Below are 17262 nucleotides of genomic sequence, written 5' to 3'. Positions count from 1 at the left end.
TGGGGACCGAGTAGTCCCCTTGCATCTGGTTTTGAAAGACTTATGAGGTCCCTCATCCAGAGCTCTGGCTGCAGCAACCCCTGGGGAGGTCCTAAGTCTGCAGACTTGGAGAATAATAGAAAGAAGAATTAGGGAAGTGAGTAGGTGTTATTCATTGGAAATCGTATATGGTGTATTTAGTGCTAACTAACATGCTCACTGGAGGGTAGCTGTGTTAGAGAGACTCTGCCTTTGAGGTTCAGCTCATAGACCTGGCATCAGTAAGAGGAGACCAGCCCCAACACTGCCTCTTCCAAGCCTCGAAGCCTGTGAGGAGTTGGTAGATAAACTACAGCGCACCCAGGTAAATTTGTATTTCAATTTAACAATATCATGTGGGAGATACACATACTAATTCTTTGTCATTGTTTTACCGAATTCAAATTTAACTGCACTCCAATGTTTTTATTTGATAAATTGGAGAACCCTACCTCCAGGCCACAAGCACTCCCTCTCTAATCATGGCCTACTGCATGAAAAGCAATCATAAAGTTGTTTTTGGGCATAAATGAGGTCACACTCTCAGGAATTAAAAAGCTATTGGTCAATAGTAAGGTTGCAGTTGTAGTAAATCTTAATACAACCTATCAAAACTTCTGGGATACAGCAAAAGCAGTGCTATGAGGAATGTTTAGCATTAAATACGTACATCACAAAGTCTGAAAGAGCACAAATAGACAATCTAAGGTTACACCTCATGGAAATGGAGACTCAAGAACAAGGCAAACCCAAACCCAGCAGAAGAAAAGAAATAACGAAGATTAGACCAGAACTAAATAAAATTGAAACAAAAAGCAATGCAAAAAACAAATGAAACAAAAAACTGGTTCTTTGAAAAGATAAATAAAATTAATAGACCATTAGCAAGATTAACCAAGAAAAGGGAGAAGATCCACATAAGCTCAAATAGAAATGAAACAGAAGATATTAATACTGATACCACAGAAATATAAAAGATTATTCAAGGCTACTCTGATTACCTCTATGCACATAAACTAGAAAGCCCAGAGGAGATGGATCAATTTCTGAATGTATACAACCCTCCCAAATTAAATGAGGAAGATATAGAAACTCTGAACAGGCCAGTAACAAGCAGCAAGATTGAAATGGTAATTTAAAAAAAATCAACAAAATAAAGCCAGGACCAGACAGATTCACAGTTGAATTCTATCAGACATTCAAAGAAGAATTAGTACTAATCCTATGACATTAATTGTGATGGTTAATACCGAGTGTCAACTTGATTGGATTAAAGGATACAAAGTATTGATCCTGGGTGTGTCTTTCAGGGTGTTGCTGAAAGAGATTAACATTTGAGTAAGTGGGCTGGGAAAGGCAGACCCACCCTTAATCTGTGTGGGCACAATCGAATCAGCTGCCAGCATGGCTAAAGTATAAGCAGACAGAAAAATGTGAAAAGAGAGACTGGCCTACCCTCCCAACCTATATCTTTATCCTGTGCTGGATGCTTCCTGCCCTTGAACATCATACTCCAAGTTCTTCAGTTTTGGAACTCGAACTGGCTCTCCACTCACCAAGGGTGACCTAGCTATGGCTAATGCTGAGTGCCCAATTTGCCAGCAGCAAAGACCAACACTGAGCCCTTGATATGGCACCATTCCTTGGGGTGATCAGCCAGCTATCTGGTAGAAGGTTGATTATATTGGAAATCTTCCATTATGAGAAGGGCATAGGTTTGTCCTCACTGATATAGACACTTATTCCAGATATGGGTTTGCCTGTAAGACTACCATCCTCCGTGGACTCATGGAATGCCTTATTCACCATCCTGGTATTCCACATAGCATTGTTCTCGCCAGGGCACTCACTTTATTCATAAAGAAGTGCAGCAGTGGGCTCATGCTCATAAAATTCACTGGTCTTACCATGTTTCCCATCATCCTGAAGCAGCTGGATTGATAGAACAATGGAATGGCCTTTTGAAGTCACAATTACAATGTCAACTAGGTGACAATACTTTGCAGTGCTGGGGCTAAGTTCCCCAGAAGGCGTGTATGCTCTGAGTCAGCATCCAATATATGGCACTGTTTCTCCCATAGCCAGGATTCATGAGTCTAGGAATCAAGGGGTGGAAGTGGAAGTGGCAGCACTCACCATCACCCCTAGTGATCCACTAGCAAAATTTTTGCTTCCTGTTCCCACGACATTATGTTCTGCTGGCTTAGAGGATTTAGTTCCAGAGGAAGGAACACTGCCACTTGGAGACACATCAATGATTCCATTAAACTGGGGAAGTTAAGATTGCCACCTGGACACTTTGGGCTCCTCCTACCTTTAAGTCAACAGGCTAAGAAGGGAGTTACAGTGTTGGCTGGGGTGTTTGGGACAGACTATCAAGATGAAATCAGTTTACTACTCCATAACGGAGGTAAGGAAGAGTATGCATGGAATACAGGAGATCCATTAGGGCATTTCTTAGTATTATCATGCCCTGTGATTAAGGTCCATGGAAAACTAAAACAGCCCTATCCAGGCAGGACTACAAATGAACCAGATGCTTCAGGAATGAAGATTTGGATCACACCATCTGGAAAAATATCCACGACCTGCTGAGGTGCTTGCTGAAGGCAAAGGGAATACAGAATACAGAATGGATAGTAGAAGAAAGTAATCATCAATACCAGCTATGGCCAGCTGCAGAAACGAGGAGTGTAATTGTCATGAGTATTTCCTCCTTCTTTTGTTAAAAACATGTTTGTGCGTGTATACCTTTGTCCTAAGAAAATATCTTCATGTTATTTCCTTTCTCCTTTATCATGTGACATAAGATTTATTGACTTCACATCAGCGTTTAAGTATCGTTAACTTTATGTAACAGTATTTGGGTTGGGGATTGATGTGTTTCTGTTTGTATGAATGATAGTTGTATTATGTTAGGTGTCATTATGACCTTATTATTGTCTTTATTTGAAGATTATGTATGATCTCAGAAGATATATATGGGTTGAAGTTGACAAGGGGTGGACTTGTGATGAGTAATACTGAGTGTCAACTTGATTGGATTGAAGGATAAAAAGGATTGATCCTGGGTGTGTCTGTTAGGGTGCTGCCAAAGGAGATTAGCATTTGAGTCAGTGGGTGGGAAAGCCATGCCCACCCTTAATCTGGGTGGGAACAATCTAATCAGCTAACAGCATGGCTAGAAAATAAGCAGGCAGAAAAATATGAAAAGAGAGATGGGCCTAGGCTCCCAGCCTACAACTTTCTCCTATGCTTGATGCTTCCTGCCCTCAAACATGGAACTCCAAGTTCTTCAGTTTTGGAACTCGGACTGGCTCTCCTTGCTCCTTAGCCTGCAGACAGCCTATTGTGGGATGTTGTGATCATGCTATATATATACAGATTCCATTAGTTCTGTCCATCTAGAAAACCCTGACTAATGCACTAATTCACAGGAAGGAGAAAGAGGAAATTCTTCCTAAATTATTCTTTGTAGCCAGTGTCACCCTCATACCAAAATGAGGGAAGGACATAACAAAACAAGAAAACTACAGAACAATATCCCTGATGAACATAGATGCAAAAATAATAAATGAAATACTAGCTAACCAAATCCAACAGCTATCAAAAACATAGTCCACCATGTTCAAGTGGGTTTCATACCAGGGATGCAGGGATGGTTTAACATATGCAAGTCAATAAATGTGATATACCACATAAAAAGCATTAAAAACAAAAATCACATGATTATCTCAATGCATGCAGAAAAAGCACTTGGCAAAATCCAGCATCACTTCATGGTTAAAAGCCTTTGCAAAATTGACATAGAAGAGACATACCTTATGGTAAGAAAAGCCCACTCTTTCAAACCCATAGTCAACATTATACTGAAAGGAAAAAAAAGTTGGAAACAATTCCCCTGAGAACTGGAACAAGACAAGAATGCCCACTTTCACCACTTCTATTCAACATAGTACTGGAAGTCTAAGCCAGAGCAATCAGACAAGAGAAACAAATCCAGGACATCCAAATTGGTAAAGAGGAAGTGAAACTGTTGCTGTTGGCAGATAATGTGATCATATACCTAGAAAACCTTAAAGACTCATCCAAAAATCTCCTAGAACTGGTAAATAAATGGCCAGGCACGGTGGCTCACGCCTGTAATCCCAGCACTTTGGGAGGCCGAGGCAGGCGGATCACAAAGTCAGGAGATCGAGACCATCCTGGCTAACACGGTGAAACCCCGTCTCTACTAAAAATACAAAAAATTAGCCGGACATGGTGGCAGGCACCTGTAGTCCCAGCTACTCGGGAGGCTAAGGTGGGAGAATGGTGTGAACCCAGGAGGCGGAGCTTGCAGTGAGCTGAGATTGCGCCACTGCACTCTAGCCTGGGCGACAGAGCGAGACTCCATCTCAAAAAAAAAAAAAAAAAAAAAAAAGAACTGGTAAATAAATACAGCAAAGTTTCAGGATACAGAAGTAAGGCACACAAATCAGTAGCTCTGTTATACAATAACAGTGAACAAGCTGAGAATCAAATCAACAACTCAAACCTTTTTACAAATAGCTGCAAAAAAATACACCTAGGAATATACCCAACCAAGGAGGTGAAAGACCTCTACAAGGAAAACTACAAAACACTGCTGAAAAAATCATGTCACACATCCCCCGCTCATGAATGGGTAGAATCAATATGTTGAAAATGATCATGGTGCCAAAAGCAATCCACAAATTCAATGCAGTTCCCATCAAAATATCACCATCATTCATTACAGAACTGGAAAAAACAATCCTAAAATTCATATGAAACCAAAAAAGACCTGCATAGCCAAAGCAAGACTAAGCAAAAGGAACAAATCTGGAGGCATCACATCACCCAACTTCAAACTATACTCTAGCATAATTTGACTCACAGTCACTAAAACTGCAAGGTACTGGTGCAAAAGTGGGCACGTAGACCAAAGGAACAGAATAGAGAATCCAGAAATGGAGCCAAATAACTGATCTTTAACAAAGCAAACAAAAACATAAAGTGGAAAAAGGACATCCTATTGAACAAATGGTGCTGGGATAATTGGCAAGCCAAATGTAGAGGAATAAAACCGGATCTTCATCTCTCACCTTATGCAAAAATCAAGCCAAGATGAATCAAAGACTTAAATTTAAGGCCTGAAACTGTAAAAATTCTAGAAGATAACATTAAAAAAACCCTTCTAGACATTACTTTAGACAAATACTTCATGACCAAGAACCCAAAAGCAAATGCAACAAGAACAAAGATAAATAGATGGGACTTAATTAAACTAAAAACCTTCTGCACAGCAAAAGAATCAGCAGAGCTAACAGACAGCACACCGAGTGGAAGCAAATCTTCACAATCTATACATCCAACAAATGACTAATGTCTATAGTCTACAAAGAACTCAAACAAATTATGAAAAAAAATAAGCAGTCCCATCAAAAGATGGACTAAAGACATGAATAAACAATTTTCAAAAGAAGATATACAAATGGACAAAAGACATATAGAAAAATGTTTGACATCGCTAATGATCAGGGAAATGCAAGTCAAAACCACGATGTGATACCACCTTACTACCACAAAAATGGCCATAATCAAAAAATAAAAATAATAATAGATGTTGGCATGGATGTGGTGAAAACAAAACACTTTTACACTGGTGGTGGGAAGGTAAACTAGTACAGTCACTACAGAAAACAGTGTGGAGATTCCTCAAGGAAATAAAAATAGATGTACCCTTTGATCCAGCAATCTCACGACTAGGTATCTACCCAGAGAAAAAGAAGTCGTTATACAAAAAAGATACTTGCACACGCATGTTTATAGCAGCACAATTGTAAAAGCATGGAACCAGCCCAACTGCCCATAAATCAACAGGTGGATAAAGCAAATGTGATGTATACATACACATACCATGGAATATTACCCAGCCATAAAAGGAACAAAATAATGGCATTCACAGCGACCTGGATGGAACTGGATGCTGTTATTCTAAGTGCAGTAACTCAGGAATGGAAAACAAAACATTGTATGTTCTCACTCATCAGTGGGAGATAAGCTATGAGAACACAAAGGCATAACAATGATACAATGGACTTTGGGGACTCAGGAGAAAGGGTAGGAGGGGGGTGAAGAATAAAAGACTACTCATTGGGTACAGTGTACACTGCTTGGGTGATGAGTGCACCAAAATCTCAGAAATCACCACTAAAGAACTTATTTATGTGACAAAGCAACACTTGTCCCCCAAAAACCTATTAAAATAAAAAAATTGAAAAATAACCAAAAAGAGAAAAATCACTAAAACCCTTAAAAACCCAAATAAATCAGTAAATAAATAAATATATAAATAAATGAAAGACGAGAACCTCTTCCACTATAGAGAGAATCAGAAGCAAGAGATGAAGAAGCAAGAATCCCGACAAGCCATCACAGACTGTCCTGTCACCTTAGATGAACATTGCCCCTAAAGTTTGATTTGGATGCACAATAAATTCAAACTTTAAAATAAATACATAAATAAAATCAGAAAAAAATGGCCTAAGGACCTTCAAAGATAGTAAGGAGCCCTCTACGAGATGGGTACAATGCAGCAACAACAGCGAGAATCTCAAAAGAAGTGTGCAGAGTGAAAGAAGCCTGAACAAATGGGAAGATAATGTTTGATAACACTGATACATTCCAGAAAAGAGAAACCAAACAGTAGTGACAGAGGCAGATCTGCAACTTCCAAGGAGGGTGTTGGGGGAGGGAATGAGGTGACAAGGGTCATGAGGAGCTATTGGGGTTGGTCACAGGTTGTATGTTGTATAGCTCCCGGTGGTGGTGATGTTTTCAAGGATCCATAGAAATGCCAAAATTTGTCTCATTCCCTATTGTAAATATGGGTGGCTTATTATATGTGCATTATTCCTACATGAAAGGAGTTTTATTAAAAAAAGAATAGGCTGGAGAGAAAGGAAGCACAGGGATTCACACTGAGGAGAAGGGGGAGGAAGACACCACTCTGGAAACTCCTGGAAATGGAAAAAGTAGGATGATGGAGACACAGGTTCCCCAACAGAAGTGGGTCTGTGATGACACAGCTGGACCTGCCACCTCAGCCCAGGACTTCAGTGCAGAGACCCTGTGTCCCAAGCTACAGGGAGCAGGACACCCTGCTTTTGTTTTCTGGACACCCTGTTCCTGACTCTGAGGACTCAGGGGAGGAGGAGCCTCCACTCTCAGGCAGGGCCCTGGATATCCCTGGACCCATGGGGGAAGCTGCAGCAGCAGAAGCCACAGGCCAGGCCTGAGCAGCAGCAGCCGGGGCTCACCCTCCTGGCAGAAAAGGAAGGGGGTTCTTGTCTCTGTTCCCCCTGGGCCTGGAGCACTGTGGGACCATTCAGGCTGTCATCCCATGCTGCACAGTAATAATCAGCCTCATCCTCAGACTGGAGCCCACTGATGGCCAGGGAGGCTGAGGTGCCAGACTTGGAGCCAGAGAATCGGTCAGAGACCCCTGAGGGCAGCAGATCATCATAATAGATGAGGAGTTTGGGAGCCTTTCCTGGGAGCTGCTGGTACCAGTTTACAGCATTATTTCCGATGTTGGAGCTGCTTCCAGAACAGGAGATGGTGACCCTCTGCCTGGGGGCTTCAGACACCGAGGGTGGCTGAGTCAGCACAGACTGGGCCCAGGACCCTGGAAGTGAGAGAGACACAGACATGGTGATTGACAAGAGACAAAAGGAGACAAGAGGAGAAAGCAGGGTCGCATGGGCTTCCCAGGGCCTCTCTCTTGGTCCCCATCCTGTCACCTGCACAGTGAGTGATGAGGGTGAGGAAGAGAGGGGACCAGGCCATGCTGGAGATTGTCCTGAGTCCTGTCTTCTCTACCCGCAGCTGAAGCTGAGCTTCCCCCAAATCTCTCCCTTTCTTCATACTCTGAGAGGGGGAGAGTCCATCCATGCAAATCAGACCCCCCCCAGGTTTGTGACCCCACCCTGAGCCCTGGGTCAGGCTCCTTGGCTTGAGGATGTCAGGGGGTGGCAGGGGTGGAGCTTTGTGGTCCCAGGGGGTGGGGAGGACACAGCTGTGAGCCCTGAGCAGAGGACACCAGGCAGGGCAGGCGGCTGGTTCTGCTCTGATCACCCCTGTCTTCTCAGGAATGATCCCCATGCGCCCTCTGGTGTCCAGATCAAGGTAAACCATTCTATGATAAGGTGACCAGAACCTCTCAGATACATGGCTTCCTCCCCCCATTCTGTCCACTGCCCCCTCTCTCAGGTCCAAGGCAGGCCAAGTGGTGTCTGTGTCTCCTCCCTGTGACTTCAGGGCTATCTTCACGCTCTACTGAGGAGTCTTCAGACTCCTCAGGAGTGAATCTTTCCATGGCTCTTTGGCTGTACATTGTAGAGGACTCAGGTGGTATCTACATAAAGTCCTATGTCAGGATCAAGCCCATAGCAGGGACCAGCCCCATGGACTCACCTCCCCACCTGTGTTGGACACCAGGTCCTCTCCTCTCATGTGGCTCCTTCCTGGTGGCTAGAGCTCTCCTTCCTCTGTGGATCCTGTGGCGCTGAGGAGAAAGGGAGCTCTTTCCTCTAGGATTCCCTGGGGAGGAATTCCCAGAGGGTTTTCCTGGTAAATCTTTGTTCTCCCTCTACTTCCCCAGATTTGCAGTCATAGTCATCTGGATACTGTGACCAGGGATCTTGCCTAGGAGTCTGTACACTAAATGCTCATCTGCAGGGGATCCTGGCAAATGACTTTGGAGTGTTTCACTTATGAACAAAAAGAGCAAAGATGCTCAGTCTTTGAAGATGGGAAGAATTAAAATTTTAACTTGGTTTAACCAGAGTCTGTCCTCAGGTGAGCCTGATACGTGTTAGCTCTCAACATCAAGCACCCCAACTAGGATTTTTAGGGAAAAATTATGGTTCAAATTCAGTAGTGAGTGTTATGGGGGTGGCTTAAGGATGATAGAAAATTATTTATCTTTGATCTGTAATGACAACTAGAATCTAATAAGCTAAAAACAAGCTTAAGAAAAATTGTAATTCTGTTGATCAGAATGAAAAATGAAACAGGTTATGCCTATGACTGCATGAATTCTGGCATGATACATCCTGGGCTCTTAATAATTACTAGTTTGGGGAATTCTATGGGGATGGAGGAAAACAGCTGGATGGTTTTGTTGATATTTCCACTGGTGAATGTATCACCAGGCAGTTGCCGTAGAATGAGATTTTAAGTGCTCCATTTAAAAATGGAATAGTGAGATTTAATATAGACATTTAAATAAAACCAGTCCATATATGGAACTGAAATAAAATGTATGCTGTGTTTTGGGATTGCATTTCAAGGGTGTCATTATTTTAAGTGTTCCTTTTAGTGTAAGCCATGTTCCTTTACATAATTTTTATAGCTTTCAAAAAATGTTTATTGCATTTACGTAACACATCAGGCATATTAAGTTTTATTTATTTCCAAGTAGAAACAAACTATTAGAGCTGGGCTTCACTTCCTGTTTGGCTCATTGCTTTTTCTTTGATGATGCATAGATGTTCACAGTGAATTTTGTTTTCCTTTCCTCCCACGTTAATGAACAGGGATCACCGAGGCTGAGCAGTGCCTCACATACAGGACAAGGCTGCCCATGGCCCCCTCCCTGCCCACAGATGTGCTTCCTGGTGGATGCCCCATCAGCTCTTAGGCTGAGGACAGAGAGGAGAACAGGTCCACAGCTACGGAATCTGGACACCCAGAGGATCCAGGAGGGACAACAGCTGGGACAGTGAGCCCTGGACAGAGGACACTGACCATGGATTTTTATCCTCATGGGACCCTCACAGACAGACCAAAACTCCAGTCTCTGTGTGTCTTCAGGGCCCAGGTCCTTCCAGGTCCTCCTTTTATCACTACTGTAGGCCCCGGCCCTACTCCTCCTATGAGTCACAATGGACAGTCTCCTCTTCAGGCTGCATTCTCCTTACCACATCTTATCCCACACCTGTCTCCCCATTCCCCCATAAACAATCCCCTGCTCATTTCCATTAGCATTTTTGTGTCATTCTGGGATCACAGCCTCCCAAGTATGTCTCTGCAGGATATCCATGTTGCAGAGAGCTCAACCCCTTGACAGGACCGCTGTGCCTGGGCCACCTAAGGCTGAGCATCTCTCTTGCTTCTCTTCTACACCAGCTCTAGGCCAAGCCATATCTAGACCTTTCAGAATGCTGAACCCACGTTTTCTTAAGCATCAGACTTCCTGTCTCACGTTTGGGTCTCTGGGTCACACAGGCTGGATTCTTCATTCTTGGCATCTCTCGCACAGTTTCTGAGCTCAGGAAATGGTCAGCATAACTGCACCAAGAGGAGGAGACACCTTTGGAACCAGACTAAAGGCTTCTGGGCCTCTGGGTCACACAGGGTGGATTCTTTCTTGTCCCTACCTCATCCCCACCCACCATGTGTGGGCAGCTCCTTTTGCTTCTAGAAACAAATTGATTCTGTTTGCATTGGGAGACCAGTAAGAAAAGGGATTATTTTTACTGAACTTGTGCTCTGCTTCAGTAACACAAGTGACAGCCGAAGTCTTGGCATGAACTGGTGTTGGTCACAGGCAGGGATAAAGGAGGGATGGGGAGACAGGATGAGTGGGGAGATCTTTCTCTCATTTCCACATGGAACAGGAACCCTTGGTAACATGGAGTCAGGATGCAGCTGTGTGACACTGATAACCAGCCAGTCCTCAGGCTGGAGCCGAGAGGTGCTCCAGGAGGCTGTGTGGATAAACCCAGAGCAGGAGAATGAGGCTGGGACCCCTGAGGGACCATCACTGCTGTCCTAGGTCATAAACTTGGGGGCTCTTTCTGGGAGGCCTCCGTAGCCATTTCCACGGGAATGCCCAATGTTTCTGCTGCTCCCCATGCAGAAAAAGGTGACCTTGAGATGTGGTGGTCTTTCCACATACTCACCACTAGACCCTGATTCAGCAAGAAGCTCCAATGGTGTAAGAGAGGAGAAGAGAACACAGGCGCTGAGGGATCAAGAAACCCACGCTCAGCAGTCCCCATGGTCCTGAGTGGGATGAGCTGCAGGAAAGTCACATCCATGGGACCTACTTCCCCCGTGGCCAAGGAGCAGCCTCTGGCTTGTCTCAGCCACAGTGGAGCCTCCCCTTGACTCTCCTGTCATGTCCTACATAGAGGTTTACTGGTCTCAGGTCCCCAGTTACCCTAATACCTAACCCCATCTCCTGACATTGCCACTGAAATGCAGGTACCCAGGACTGAGCCAGGTCAGCACTATATCTAGAATTCCCTGACCTGTGTCCTCAGGCAGCATTTCATATTTGAGTGCCTTGTTCCTGGGACACAGTGAGCCACAGACAGCCCTGAGAACAGACTACTGGGGATGGAAGGGGAGGTCTCTGCCCGTACGCTGGAAGAGCAGAGTCCATGCTGCAGGGCACTGTTCACCTGCTAGGATGTCCCCAGGCTCTGACCATGATGTGAGCTAGGAAAGCCTCATTTTGCTTCTTTCAAGAACAAAAGTCCAGCTCCACAGGCAGTGGTGTTAGCACATATGACAACCAGCCAAGACTTCAGTGTCATCAGTTGCTTTGGTTTTGTTTTGTTTTACTGAGACTTCAGACGAATGGATGGGAAATTGAGAGAAGAGCCTTTTACAACTAGAAAGTACTTCCAAATGTAGTTTGTGCCTAGGCCAGTTATTTTAAAATTTAAAATTTTTTAAGAACAAGACCTAAAGCAGGGTGAGGTTTTTGTCCCACTTCCCCATCTGTGTGTGTCACTGTGAGAAGCATTGCTTGGCCAAATCATACAGTAATAGTCAGCCTCATCCTCAGACTGGAGCCCGGAGATGAGTAAAATCCCTGTATTGGCTGAAGCATCTTTGGATCCAGAGAAGCGGCTGGGGACTCCAGAGCCCTGGCCCTTATCTGAGTCTGAGTAGTAGTACAGGAGATACCTGGGAGGGCTCCCTGGCTTCTGCTGGTACCAGTATATGTTGTAGCTACCAACATTGATGTCACTGGGCAAGGTGCAGGTGAGTCTGGCGGATTCTCCAGGAGATGCGGAGGAGGAAGGTGGCTGAGTCAGCACAGGCTGGGAGAGGGAACCTGCAAACACAGACACTCATGGTTGATGGGCAGGGTTCAGGGTGAGGTTTTTCAGGGATCTTTACCAGAAGAGCCAGAATCAGGTTGGGTGGCTGGCCCTGATCTCTGAGGCCTGTCCCTACCTGTGCAGTGAGAGAGGAGCAAGAGAAGAAGAGGAGTCCAGGCCATGGTGGACACAGCCTGACATGCACAGTGGGACTGGGCTGCCCCAGGCCTCCTTTTCTTCCCATACTCTGCAGAGGAGGGGCTGCTCATGCAAATGTGTTTTCATCCAGGGACTGCCCAGCCCCTCTCTAAGCTCTGGGGCTGAAGCTCAGCTCACACTGCAGACTGAGGAGGAAGAAGTTTTGCTTTTCCCCTTGAGAGGGCTCCGGAAGAAAGCACCTACTGAAACCATACACACCTTCCTGCTCAGGGGACTCTGCCATGCCATGGGAGGACATAGATGCTAAGTACCCCTCAGTGAGCACGGGGTCTTAGCCCCTAGTCTTGGATTTCTTTGAGTGAATGGTCCTTACTGAGCAGCTGTGTAGGGACCATAGGGCAGTCCCCCAGCATCCCATGCTGGTTAGAGGACACTTACCTCCTGATGGCCCAGCTGATCTCTGCAGCTCATTAGTCACTGTCTCTATTCACACCTCTATGGTCTGATTGCTAGACACTAATTCCATAAGGCTATGCATGATTATTGTGATTTCTCACTCCCAGAGTGAGTCTTGGTCCATGGGATGTAGACATGTACATATATAACTTTTAAAATCTAGAAAAACCTAACTGCCCACATGTGCCATCAGGGTAGGCATCATGGAGAAGAGGTCAGCTGAGGAGCTAGGTTGAAGGGCAGCTGGGGGTTACTCAAAAGGACGGTGAATAATGAGAATTTTGCAAGAAAAATAAATGATCCATGACATGTTAAAGTAGCAATTCAGCAAAAGTTATCTCTACAGTGGTTTCATACATTTTAGAGTTTTTACTCAACGTAGTGATATAGGGAAATGAATAGCATTGGTAAACTTACTTTTACAAGTGAGTAGTGTGACATATTTCTCATTTTATACAGTCAACCGTTATCTCCCTAAGTAAAACTTGTTGTTTTCTGCACAGTTGTGTCCCTGCTTGCTCTGACCGATTTGGGCTCTGTTCCTAGGGCAGCCTGTTCCAGGAACCAAGGACTTTCTGATTTTTTTTGAGGCAATTTGACAATGCTGTTGCTATGGGCTTTCTCTGAGGGCTGACTCTGAGGAAACAAAGCTGCATTCTCTAAATCACTGTCCCTGACCTGAGACCTGGGCCCTGGCTAGCACCAGCCCAAGCAAACATGAACACAAATGGTAAACAGCCCAGTTTTCCCAGTTGTAGGTGGTGCTGTCGGGTCGTGCTCCTAGGAGACCTGAAATGTTCCCATCTCACTTCCCCACAGACTGCAGCACCGTGGGGGCCTCCAGAGAACTGTCCAAATCCAACGTTAATGATCAGCCTTGTCCTCAGCCTGGAGCCCAGATATGCTCAGGAAGGCCTCCTTGCCAGACTGATCACTCAAGAATCAGTTCTGGATCTGCAGGTGGATATTTACATCCACAGATCAGAGGTTTAAGGACACTTCCTGTTCATTGTTGGTACCAGGACACAATTCCAAGGACGTTATTGCTGCTGTTTCCAGTGCAGGAGATGGTGGCTGGTTTAGTCACAGACAAACTGTGCAGGCCACCAAGTGAGCCCTGACTGCCCAGGACCCTAAGAGTCAGGACAGAGACACAGGGTGTGGGAAGTGGCTCGGTGAGCCGGGGGAGCAAGGCAGAGCCCTGGTCCTCCCAGTGCCAGTCCCTGCCTTTCTATCTCCAGCCTCCTGTGCAGAGACTGAGGAGGGTGAGCAGCAGAGGGATTCAGGCCATGGTAGAGAAGTCTCTGGAGCTCTACTTCCTGAGCCACACAGATTAGGGGGAACAGCCCCTTTTCCCTGGCCCTTCTTAGAGGAGGGGACTCAATGCAAGTCTAACCTGTCCCCATGGTTGTTCCCTTCACATAAGATGCTGAGTCTGATTATACTTCTCGAGGACTGGGTGGCTTCTTGAGGCTGGGTAGGAGAGCATGGTCAGTGACTCTTCAGGCACCCTGGGAGGATGCAGCTGCTGGGCCCTATGAATACTAAATAGAGACAGGGAGACAGGTGTCTGGTGTCCCAGCCAAGTCCAGCCATGAACTGACTTTCCAGGCTGCACAGAAATCCATGGGTCTCTCTTCCTTCTTGATTCTCACTGGATCAGCACATAAGGCAGAGTGGTGGAGTTTGGGGAGAATAAATGAGCATGCTTGTGTGGTTCACTGGATTCAGTGGAAATGCAGAGGACTCCAGGGATCAGAAGGAGAAAAAAAAAAAGGAGAAGGAGGAAGTGCTAGCTGAGGCAAAATAGGAGAATCAGCCAACTCTGGGCTACTTCAGAACTAGGGAATCAGAGAGGCTCGTAAAAGAGAAAAAATAGGCTGGGCACAGCGGCTCATGCCTGTAATTCCAGGACTTTGGGAGGCTGAGGAGGGTGGATCACTTGAGCTCAGAAATTCAAGACCAGCCTGGGTAACATGGGGAAACCCCATGTCTACCAAAAATACAAGATATTAGCAGGGTGTGGTGGTGCGTGCCCATAGTCACAGCTACTTGGGATGCTGAGCTGAGAAGATTGCTTGAGTCAGGAGGTGAAGGTTGCAGTGAGTTGAGACCACAGCCTGGGCAACCAGGGTGAGACCCTGTCCCTACCCCCACCCCCACCCCACCCTACCCCCCCAAAAAAAGAGAGAAAATGTATGAATGTCCAATTCCAAGAAAAAAAATCTGGAAAAATACCAATAGGCTTCCTGCTATAAAGCTCTTGATAATTAACTCAGGATGATAGAGGGGAGAAGTGGTTGACAGGAAAAGGAGAGAGACCCAAGAAGGGAATTCAGGAATCAGAGATGTGGGAGGGGAGAGGGTAAGGATGGGCTACACTACAGAAAAGACTAGATGAGAAGCTAGTAAGAATGTTGGATGGGAGCCAGAGGGGAGGTCAGGTTAGTTGTTTGTTTGCTTTTGTTTTGTTTCTTAAAGAAAGGGGAGCCTCTCCCTGCTTTGCAGCTGTCCTCCCTGGTCGTCTTCCTGCATGGAGTGTGGCTCGTTCCATCTCAGCTTACCGCAAACTCCGCCTCCCGGATTCCAGTGATTCTCCTGGCTCAACCTCCCGAGTAGCTGGGATTACAGGCTGCGCCACCACGCCCGGCTAATTTTGCATTTTTAGTAGAGACGGGGCTTTTCCATGTTGGCCGGGCTGGTCTGGAACTCCCGACCTCAGGTGATCTGCCCGCCTTGGCCTCCTAAAGTGCTGGGATTACAGGCCTGAGTCACCACAGCCAGCCAAGTGTGGGGTTCTTCTGTCATCCAAACACATTAGTTCACTATGTCTGAGATATCTCTTAGGTTATTGTCTGCCAAGGTTTCTCCTTATTTTACACTATTCTTATGAATTTGTTATGGCTGTTTTTGTTATTAGAGGTAAGGTCTCACTTTGTCACCCAGGCTGGAGTGCAGTGGCATAATCATAGCTCATCGCAGCTTTGAACTCCTGGGGTGAAGCGACCCTCCTGCCTCAGCCTCCTAGGTATCTACGATGACAAGCATGCCACACTACGCCTGGCTAATTCATTTTTTATTATTTAAAAACATGTTTTGTAGAGAAAAGATCTTGTGACGTTACCCTGGCTGGTCTCAAACTCCTGGCCTCAAGTAATTCTTTTGCCTCAAACTCCCAAAGTGCTAGGATTACACACCTGAGCCTCTTCTCCTGGCTGGCCTTGTTATTGTTCAAACATATATGTGGATTTTGTGTGGTAGGAACTTTCTAGAAATGCAGAGACTGTGTCCTCACTCCAGAGCCACTGAATCAGAATCTGCATTTTGTAAAATCCCCAGAAGATGCATATGCACAACAGAATTTGGGGGGTACTGTTCTAACACATGCCTGGAGACACTGGTGTAGTTTTGGATATAAATTATTCCTCATACCTTAATCTGTTATGCTCCTTCTTACATGAATCGGAAACTCTTGTTTCTCTATTTACTGCATTGTGAAGTCAGGTGTAATGTACTCAAGGCTTTCCACTGAAAATTTCAGGCATTTTTTTTCTGACCTCACAAAATCCACAGAAGTTACCAGGAGTGTTTTAATAATAAGATAATATCATATCTTCGTTTGAGTAGCAAACAATAAGAATTATCTAAAAATGATAATATTTCATTGGTATTCAAATAAAAATAAAATTAGCAACTATTTAAATATTTTATCCCTTTTAAGAAATGGAACACTACTTACATTAACCTGAAATGACTAGATCATAAAGGGGTATAAAAGCAGATGAAAAAGCACAAGGCTTGATCACCATTGTGGAAATACTGAGAACAAAAATGAAAGAATGCATCCAAATAAAAAAAAATAGTCATATTGATTGCTTGGAATAAAGAACCTTTGCCGAGGACTCGGTGATTTTAAATACTTTCTGATTTTATGTAATAGGCATGTATTGCTTTGAACATAACTCAATAAATAAATTTTAGTAAGTTTAGAAAGTTTCTTCTTATTGCTCTTAGCTCAGAAAGCCCATCCTTTGAAGATGCTACTGAGATCCCTGTGTGGAGGAGGTGTGTTGTGTGGTGCTTTATGCAAATCTTTACCACATTCACCACCTTTAGCACCACCCAGGTTCTCAGCCCTGAGAGCAGCCACACTGTGAGGGGACTGCCCAGAGTGGCCGTGTGTTGCGGGAGGAAGCAGCTGCTCTAACATTTTACACGACCCAGTGAGCAACTGTGCAGGGTTCATTCAGTTTGAACTCCTTGAGCTTCTTATGATGCAGACGACCCAGACCGCCCCCTGGTGGCTTTCCTGGACTGAGCATGTATTGTCAAATAACTATTGATTTACCTTTTTGACATTGCCACTGTAAATTTCCTAGGCCAATTCACATCCATTACTTGTCTATTTTTTGCTCATCCCTATTTGTACTACTTTCTCTTCCTGTTGTTGAAATCCAGCCCCAGTGACTATAATTCGATTTTAGTGTTACATGGTGTTAATTTTTAT

At 44.9% G+C, this 17262-nt stretch overlaps 1 pseudogene, 2 gene segments (V, D, J or C) and 1 further gene; all 4 read right to left on the bottom strand.

Moving 5' to 3' along the window:
• Positions 1-17262, bottom strand: part of IGL (immunoglobulin lambda locus) — an 896838-nt gene that overhangs the window by 483047 nt on the left and 396529 nt on the right.
• IGLV1-36 (immunoglobulin lambda variable 1-36) lies at positions 7402-7869 on the bottom strand. The segment is given in 2 exon segments: positions 7402-7708; positions 7830-7869. Coding segments are annotated over 2 exon segments (347 nt in total).
• IGLV5-37 (immunoglobulin lambda variable 5-37) lies at positions 11832-12322 on the bottom strand. The segment is given in 2 exon segments: positions 11832-12154; positions 12277-12322. Coding segments are annotated over 2 exon segments (369 nt in total).
• IGLVI-38 (immunoglobulin lambda variable (I)-38 (pseudogene)) lies at positions 13589-13879 on the bottom strand (annotated as a pseudogene). Its single transcript is given in 1 exon segment — positions 13589-13879. A coding segment is annotated over 1 exon segment (291 nt).

The sequence above is a fragment of the Homo sapiens genome, chromosome 22 (assembly GCF_000001405.40).
Source record: "Homo sapiens chromosome 22, GRCh38.p14 Primary Assembly".
In the NCBI taxonomy this organism is placed as follows: Eukaryota; Metazoa; Chordata; class Mammalia; order Primates; family Hominidae; genus Homo; species Homo sapiens.
Note: the sequence above shows the minus strand (reverse complement) of the source record. Positions and strands in the feature narration are given on the sequence as shown.